The 9,550-nt window shown below is 45.9% G+C and overlaps 2 annotated features.

The window, feature by feature from the left end:
- Positions 3,329-3,829: an enhancer, noted in NCBI's record as "H3K4me1 hESC enhancer chr10:130238232-130238732 (GRCh37/hg19 assembly coordinates)". NCBI's record gives its function as "activates a minimal SCP1, AML or CMV promoter by ChIP-STARR-seq in naive H9 embryonic stem cells {active_cell/tissue: H9 hESC(naive)}" and the evidence as "EXISTENCE:reporter gene assay evidence [ECO:0000049][PMID:30033119]".
- Positions 8,617-9,118: an enhancer, noted in NCBI's record as "H3K4me1 hESC enhancer chr10:130232943-130233444 (GRCh37/hg19 assembly coordinates)". NCBI's record gives its function as "activates a minimal SCP1, AML or CMV promoter by ChIP-STARR-seq in primed H9 embryonic stem cells {active_cell/tissue: H9 hESC(primed)}" and the evidence as "EXISTENCE:reporter gene assay evidence [ECO:0000049][PMID:30033119]".

Below are 9,550 nucleotides of genomic sequence, written 5' to 3'. Positions count from 1 at the left end.
TGTTCCTTTGTACATAATGTGCTTTTTTAAAATAACAAGGCATATTTACATATTTCTTTATATATCACTGGTGTTAATCAATAATTACAATGCCCTTAGTATTTTTTAATGTTGATTCTGCTCTGGGTTTATTGAGCTTCTTAAACCTATGAATTTATACTCTGTAAAATTTGAAAGTTTTAGTATTTTTCTGTCTCCCTTTGTTTTAACCTTCGCGATCACCTATTCTAAGCATGTTAGACCACTTGGTATCATATCACATATCACTGTACCTCTATTTACTTTTCTCCAAGTCATTTTTTACCTCTGTGCTAATATTGCAGTTTTTTATTGCTATGTATTCAAGGTTCATCTGCTGCCAATCCCATTCAGTATATTTTTAAATTCAGATACTGTAGTTTTCATCTCTAAAAGTGGCATTAGTATTTCTTTTCTTTCCTAATTTTGTGTATATTGAATATTTTTATAACAGGTTTTGTAAAATTTTTGTCTGCTTATTAGGTCTATTCTTATATTCTGATTTCTCTCACATTTTCTGTCTCTTCACGTATCTCATAATTTTTAACTTGAAGATGGACACTGTAAATTTCATGTTGTTGTATGTTGAATTTTATTGTCTTCTTTCAAAGACTATTGGGCATTTTTCTTGCAAGAAGTTAGGTTACTTAAGGATCCATTTGATTATTATAAGATTTGTTTTTAAACTTTATTAGAGTGGTTGTAGAGTCTGTTCTAGTTTATCTCTGCTGCCAAGTGTGGCCCTTCTGGGGTCTTCTTTGAGTACTCCGAACGTTCAGTGAGGACTCTCTCATGTGGATCCTTGGAACACTACAGTCACCCAGATATGTGTGAGTTCTGGACATAGCTCAGCTCATCGTTCCTCAGTCAATCTTTGTTGACATTATAGAATCTATCTGTCTATCTATCTATTTATCTATCTTTCTATCATCTATTTATCTGTTTATTATCTATCTATCTATCAATTTATCTATTTCTAACTGTCTTATAATTGAGCACCAAATGCAAGGGACTCCATGTCTATTTCTGGAGGATTGCAATGCCTGCTTTTTTTTTTTTTTTTTTTTTTTTGCTTTCCATATGCTTGGTACATTTTCTTCCAGCCCTTTACTTTGAGCCTATGTGTGTCTTTGCACGTGAGATGGGTCTCCTGAATACAACACACCAATATGTCTTGACTCTTTATCCAATTTGCCAGTCTGTGTCTTTTAATTGGGGCATGTAGCTCATTTACATTTAAGGTTAGTATTGTTATGTGTGAATTTGATACTGTCATCATGATGCTATCTGGTTATTTTGCACACTAGTTAATGCAGTTTCTTCATAGTGTCATTGGTCTTTATATTTTGGTGTGTTTTTGCAGTGGCTGGTACCGGTTGTTCCTTTCCATGTTTAGTGTTTCCTTCAGGAGCTCTTATAAGGCTGGCCCGGTGGTGACAAAGTACCTCAGCATTTGCTTGTCTGGAAAGGATTTTATTTCTCCTTCACTTATGAATCTTAGTTTGGCTGGATATGAAATTCTGAGTTGAAAATTCTTTTCTTTAAGAATGTTGAATATTGGCCCCCACTCTCTTCTGCCTTGTAGGGTTTCTGCTAAGAGGTCCACAGTTAGTCTGATGGGGTTCCCTTTGTAGGTGACCTGGCCTTTCTCTCTGGCTGCCCTTAACATTTTTCCCTTCATTTCAACCTTGGAGAATCTGATGATTATGTGTCTTGGGGTTGATCTTCTCGTAAAGTATCTTAGTGGTGTTCTCTGTATTTCCTGAATTTGAATGTTGGCCTGTCTTGCTAGGTTGGGGAAGTTCTCCTGGGTAGTAACCTGAAGCACATTTTCCACCTTGGTTCTATTCTGCCCGTCACTTTCGGGTACTCCAATCAGTCATAGGTTCGGTCTTTTTACATAGTCCCATATTTCTCAGAGGTTTCATTCATTCCTTTTCATTCTTTTTTCTCTAATCTTGTCTGCATGCCTTATTTCAGCAAGAAGGTCTTCAAACTCTGATATCCTTTCTTCTGCTTCATCTATTTGGCTATCAATACTTGTGTATGCATCACGAAGTTCTTGTGCTATGTTTTTCAGCTCCATCAGGTCTCTTATGTTCCTCTCTAAACTGATTATTCTTGTTAGCAGCTCCTCTAACCTTTTTTCAAGGTTCTTAGCTTCTTTGCATTGGGTTAGGACATGCTCTTTTAGCTCAGTGAAGTTTGTTATTATCCACCTTCTGAAGCCTACTTCTGTCAATTCTGTCCATGTCATACCCCATCCAGTTCTGCACTCTTGCTGGAGAGGCACTGCAATCATTTGGAGGAGAAGAGGCACTCTGGCCCTTTGGGTTTTCAGCATTTTTTTTGCTGATTCTTTCTTATCTTCTTGAGTTTGTCTAGTATCAATCTTTGAGCCGGCTGACTCTCAGATGGGGTTTTTGTGGGGACTTTTTTTTGTTGATACTGTTGTTGTTGCTTTCTGTTTGTTTGTTGTCTTGCAATGGTCAGGTCCCTCTTCTGTAGGGCTGCTGCAGTTTGCTGGGGGTTCACTTCAGGCCCTATTCATTGGGTTCACTCTCACACCTGGAGATGTCACTTGAGGAGGCTGGAGAACAGCAAAGAAGGGTGCCTGCTCCTTCCTCTGGGATCTCTGACCTCAAGGAGTGCCAGCCTGATGCCAGTAGGAACGCTCCCATATAGGGCGTCTGATAACCCCTGTTGGAGGGTCTCCCCCAATTGGGTGGCATGGGGAACAGGACCCATTTAATGAAGCACTTTGACTGTCCCATGGTGGAGGGGTTGTGCTTTGCTGGGGGGAAACCCACTCATCTGGACTTCCCGGATTCCTCAGAACTAGCAGGAGGAAAGACTAAGTCTGCTGGTCTATAGAGTCTGCGGCCACCCCTCCCCCTAGAGGCTGAGGCCCAGGGAGATCAAAGTCCTCTCCCTGAGCCCCTGGCTGGAGTTGTCGGAGTTCCTACATGGAGGCCCCACCCAGTAACGAAGGGTGGGTCAAGGTCAAGCCTGAAGAGGCACTCTGTCTGCAGTCTGCCACAGCCAGTGTGTTGGGCTGTGGGGGATACCTATTGGCACTAAGCCTTCCAGCCTCCCTCCCTCCAGCAGAGGAAAACACGGCCTGGAGCTATAGAGATGGCTCCCGCCCTTCCCCCGCCCTGGGAGCTTAGTGTGTTAGGTGGCTATCCGTCCTAGTGTTGGCTGTTGCCTTTCTCCCAAGGAGCTCAAACTGCTTAGACAGCAGGCAGCCGCAGCTGTGGTGCTGGTCACCCCTCCCTCCGGGAGCTCAACAGGCTTAAGCAGATTCTAGCTTAGTGGCTGTTGAGACTCTGCAAGGCTCCGTAGTTAGGACCCTAGGCTCTGGTGATGTGGGCTCACGAGTGGGATCTTCCAATCTGTGGGTTGCACAGTTCCGTAGAAAAAGCATGTTTTTCCAGGTAGGTAGCATGCTCACTCACTGCCTCCCTTAGCTGGGGGGTGGGGGCTCCCCTGCTTCATGTGGCTGTCAGGTGGGCTGCTGCACCACGCCACTCTTTCTTCCTCTCCGTGGGTCATGCCAGCCACCTAGTCAGTTCTGATGACAGAACTTGGATACCTTGGTTGCTGGTGCAGGATTGGCACGCTGTTATGGTTCTTTTCGATGGGGGCCTCCCATCACCGCTGCTTCTAGTCAGCCATCCTGGCCTCGCACCCTCAACAGATTCATTCTTAATTAAAAAGGGGGCAAAATGCCTTTACAGGGGAGGGATGTGGTGAACACCATTGTAAGCAACTAAGTGACCAAACTTAGTATCACCAATCATGGGACAACCTGACAGTTTGTGTCTTTTGCTACAAAGCAGTAGCCTGAGCCCAACCTCACCTACAGTATAGTAGGAAGTATTCTTGTCAACAAAGCATAGTCAAATGACAAGGAAACAATCAAATTATGGGACATTCTGCAACAGAACTGGCCTGGATCCTAGATGCCTGGAAATATTAGTGCCATGAATAATAAAAGAAAAAAAGTCATGAGAATGTTGCAGTTTAAAATGGGTTGATTGATATGTCAACCAAAACCCAATGAATAATCATTTATTGGATACAAGATGGAGGAAAACAGCTATTGAAGACATATTTTGAACAACAGAGAACTTTAATCCGATTCAATGTCTTGTTTATAATGACAATACTGTGGTTATGCAGAAGAGTGGTTTCTTTCCTTTCATTGGAAATGTAAATCATGTGGGGGTGAGGTGTCACGACTTCTGCAACTTACTCTCTAATTGTTCATAAAACATAAAAGTGATAAGATATTAATAATTTATAAATTTTGGTGGAGACTATGTGAAGACTCATTGTACCAATCTTTCAACTTTTCTGTAGTTTAGAAAAACTCAAGGTGAAAAAGCTTAGAGAAAATGAGACAAAACTGGCAGACAAAGAAAAATGAACCTTGATAAAGAAAACAATAAAATTTATTAGAAGACATAAAAATAGCACAAAATATACCATGCTCCTAGTAAAATTCTAGTATAATGTTCTGTGGAATCTGATAAACTGATTCTAATGTTTTGTTTGGCTTGGTTTTGTTTTGAGACACGGTCTTGCCTCTGTCACTCAGGCTAGAGTACAGTGGCGCAATCATGGCTCACTGCAGCATGGAACCAGAGACAGAGGGGTTATGTTGGCTGTTTCTCTGCCTTATGGCTTGCGCATGTCTTCTCTGCCTGGAATGCACTTCCCTGACTACATACACGTAGACACACACACACACACGCACACGTGCACCACTCTACACGTACCTACACGCAGACATAGACGCACATGTGCACACACACCATGCACACACACACGTGTGCACACAAGACACATACTTACACCATAAGCACACACACCACACACATGCACACACACTACATGTGCACACACACACTACACATACCTACAGACACGTGCACATGCATGTGCACACACACCACACATGTGAACATAAACTACACATACCTACACTGCATGTACACACACACCACACACACATGCACATGCCCCTGATACACACAGGCACACACTACAGATATCTATACCACATGCACACACACGTGCACACACACCCCACACACACGCTACACATACCTACATCGTGCACACACACTACACATACCTACACCACATGCACACACACACACCACACACCCCACACACATGCACACGCAGCACACATACCAACACCGCACGCACACACACACACACCACACACACAACCTTGCTGCCCATGGCTGGCTCCCTCTGGTCACACAAGATTCACCTCAGTTGTCACATCTTACATGACGCCCTCTCCACCCACCAGTCTAAAGTCAGTCCCCGCACTTTTATTCTCTCTCCCTCAGTGCCCTGATTTGTCTCCTTCAAGGTACTTATCAAAACTTACATTCATTTCTTTTTGTAACTGTCAGTCTCTCTCCACCTCAGTGCAGTATACGTGCTGTTGGGACAGGGACTACCTGTCTGACCTGCTGCCTGTCCCCAGTGCCTGAGTCCGTGTCCATGCCCAGCAGGCTCCGCTTGGGCGTCTGTTGGGTGTAGCAGAGACTTGTCACTTCCCCGGTGTCCCACTGCCCTCCTCCTTTTAGTAACTGCCACCTTCCCCCTGCATTGTCACCAGGGGCGTGGCCACCCAGCGGTGGGTTAACTTCGCTCCTCGGCTTGCACCGAGGAAGGGTGACGTGACTGTGGACAAGTAAACAGAACCCCTATGGGCAGCTTCCTGGTGGATTTCAGTGATAACATTGCTTCCCCACCTTGTTCTTTGCTTCCTCTCCAAGGCCCACATGGGCCAGGTTACACCCTCAGTCAGGAGCAACACCTTGGGAGCAAGTCACAAGACGGAGACTTCCAGTCTCTGCACAGCTCAGGAGTGGCCCTGTCTGCCCACTTTGGGCCACCGAACAATGCTGGACTGTTGTCTGAAAAAATAACACCCTCCCACCTGTCTGAGCCCTTTGAACATAGGCCTCCTAGTCATAGCCTACCCGATTCCACATTTAGTGATGAATAAAGCAAGACAGAGCTTTCTTGCTCTCCCTTTGGCTGTAGAGTAGTTATTGCCAAGTAGAAATCATGGCGCCTCTGATGGTATATTTGGCAATGACTGCAGACAGTTTTGGTTGTCACAACTTGAGGTTGAGTGGTGCCCCTGGCATATCATGTGTAGAGGCCAGGGATGTGGTGAAACTATAACACACAGGACAGCTCGCCACAGGGAAGGACTCTCCAGCCCAACTGTCAATAACGCCGAGGCTGAGAAATCCTGCTGGAGAGAAATGGCCATCGCAGACCTGTTTCTGGAGATGCAGGTTTTACTCGGGTACTGACAGTGATCTGTGATTCACAGATCAGTCAAGGTCATTTCTTCCAATAGCCTCCTTGAAGGAGGTTAGTCTTTTCTTTCCAAATCCCCAAACTGAGTTCCAGGACACAGCACAGAGTAGGTGCATAATGAATGCTCAATTCTCATACCTTTACATATGGGGGGCCCAGCCATGATCATTCTTCCCTGCCCATCTGCACCTCGCCAACTCCCGGCCTCCCTTGGGTAGCCTGCCCACATCTGGCTCTCAGCCCTATTCTGAGTTAGGTGCCAGACCACTGTGCTTGCAAAGCTTCCTGTAAGATCTGTCATTGCAGCCCTTGTCCTGTAGTTTTCAAATTGTGTGTGTGTGTCCTCAGTGAGCTCAGGACCAAGACCTAGTTCATTATTCTGTCACATCAATTCAGATATTAATATGTATGATTTAAAAGGAATATATCAAGAAAGGGATCACAGTTCCAGTTTAGGTCGTGGATATCAATGACTTTATTTCTAGCTCAAGAAAGGGTCCAGCTCCACTGTATCTCTGGCACTGCCAGGAGACGCTGGCTCTTGAGCACCAATTTTCAAGGTAGCCTGCCATGTAAAGGAGACCTGGAGAGATTGGAATTGAGATGCAATTAGGACTCCAGGACTCTGCGTGGCTAGGAGAGCAAGAAGGGACCCAGGAGATGACAGCAGATTGTGACTTGTCTTTATAGAAGAACTTGCTCTATTTATCCTGGGAAGCTGGGGGTATAGAGAGCCCACATTTACCATTCAAGAGTCACTTACTTTGGGGCCTCACTTGAAAACTGGGGAGACATCCAGCAAGCCCTGCAGTTATGAAAACTAACTCACACCCCAAAGGGACAGGTCCGTTCTTTAAACAGACACAGTGCGGCTCTCAGTAGCTCTCTTTTCCTTAAACATTGAGAGTAATTACGTTAAGTCAGGAACATCCAGCTTCCTACCAAATATGCAAGACTAAAACCACCGAGCCAAGTGAGATGCAGAATTGAGAGGATCCAGTGCCTTCCGTGTGGGGTAGCCACTCTACAGGTGTATAACACAATGAAACTGGTTCTTTTGAAGTTTTTAATCACTTTTTTGTAAGCGGGAGTGACGCTGACAAGCAATGCTATCAGAATGCTGGCTCCATCCCTCAGTGGCACAGGGGACCTGCTTTGGCCCAGGCAGGCATTGTTAATTGTTTTAGAACTTGTCTAAAACACCCGACGTCCTGGGAGGGGCTTATTACAAAGATTCCTCTGGAATTGATGATGAGACTGGAATTTCCCATCTTCCACAAATCATTTGTCAGGGAGCGTGTTATCAGAATATGAGCCGGCCCCTTCAAATGTATTTTAAACACTGTTAATGTATTTCCACATGTCACCGGCTGACAGCCCCACCATCCTCTCTTCTGCCACCAGGGAAATTTACATGCATTTGAATTCACTGGGCCGAGCCCAGGCTCCCCACACTGACAACCCATTTAACTCAGTGATAGGTTAATCTGTGTGCTGTTTGGTAGATTTCTGTCTTTAACCCAAAACAGAGTTTGTGAAAATGATTCAGAGATAAATTTGCAGAACAGCAGCGCTGTGACCCCTAGTCTGTACGGAGGCTGCAACACTTGGAATATTCTATCCTATGGGGTCAGCTGGGTCCTGGGGGTCACCTCCCTCTGTGTGTCCTCTAACCTGCACTGCAGGCTCCTGTCACCTCCATTTTTAAAAACAAAATAGTTTTCATGTATTTATTCAATTAGTGGATAGTAAAATGGATCAGCCAATGTGTCAAAATGCAATCAAATTTAAAGAATTAGATTTTCTGCCTATTTATTTTATGCCAATGAGATCCATGTTACCAAATCCCCTGATGTTTTTTGATTGTTGTATCCATTTCCTGGGGCTGCAGTAACAACTTCTCACAATGCAGGGGGCTCCAAGCAGTAGAAGTGTGTTCTCCTGCAGCTCTGGAGACCAGGAGTCCAGGTGTTGGTAAGGTGGGCTCCTCTGAAGCTCTGAAGGAGGAGCCATCCCTGGCTTTGTCCCAGCTTCTGGTGACACTTTGGTACACCTCAGCTGCAGCAGTGAGGTGCCAACTCCGCCTCCATCTTCACAAGGCACTCCTCCCTCTCTCCTTTCCTTTCAATTCTCCCTCCTCCCATTCTTCAACGGTAAACTGACAATTCATGAAAGGGATGTCCACCCGCCCCAAGTTCCGGCTGGAAGTGCTCAGGCAGCTTTGGAGCGGGGCTGCCAGCCAGGAGAGAGTGTGGTCCTCAGGGCAGCGGCATACGGTCAGGACAAAGCCACTGGGGCTGGCTTCAGGCTCCTGCGCAGAGGAGCAAGGGGCTCATGAGCAAGTCTTCTAACTTTCAGCCAACATTCTCATATCAAAAAACACACCACTCAAATCTGACACTCTCACGGTGCCAGGTCTACAGAGACGCAGGGGAAGCCTCTAATGGGAGGGACAGTTGGCGTCGGTGGCCAGGGGAACAGGTGCGCTGAGGAAGTGAGTCTTTAGCTAAAATATAAAGCCTGATTGGGATCCACTAGGAGAGGAGCAAGGCAAGGCTGTTTTGCTGCAGGACACAAAAGCCTGGGATTGGGGAGATTTTTATCACAGCAGGGGAGCCAGGGGAGCTAGAGGCAGCCACCTGGCCAGCGCGCCAGCAGAAAAAATAGACATCACTCTTCAATCAAGGGACATTGGGGACCAACACATGAACACACACCTCACCCAGCAGGGGCCTTGGTTGGCCCGGAAAAGAAGCGTAGTCATCGCTGGATAGAGATGAGGGGCCCCAGAGGACAGTCTCCTTAAGACATCTTCATGCATGCTACAGGCCATTATCCAATGGGGATGATTAGCGATGCCAGAGACAGGGGCACAATTGCAGATGCAAAGTCCCGGGAAGGCAAAAGAAGTTCCCCCCACCCAGGAGGAGGAGCTCCCTCTGATGGGAGCAAGGCTCTTCCTCCTCCAGGACATGAAAGTAGAGACAGATGCAGGTGACGGGCTGAGGTGGTGGTGGGAAGATGCTCGGTCCCCATCTAATGGTTTTGCTCAGTGACATAAGAATAAGGTCCTGGCTGGGAGTTTGGTAGGGGGATGCCAAATGAAGAGTTTGAGAAGATAGAGGGGGAGAAGATGGTGTGGAAGAATCACGTTGGAGAGTGGGAGAGGAAA

The sequence above is a fragment of the Homo sapiens genome, chromosome 10 (genome assembly GCF_000001405.40).
Source record: "Homo sapiens chromosome 10, GRCh38.p14 Primary Assembly".
NCBI lineage: Eukaryota > Metazoa > Chordata > Mammalia > Primates > Hominidae > Homo > Homo sapiens.
This window is presented reverse-complemented; position numbering and strand designations above follow the sequence as displayed.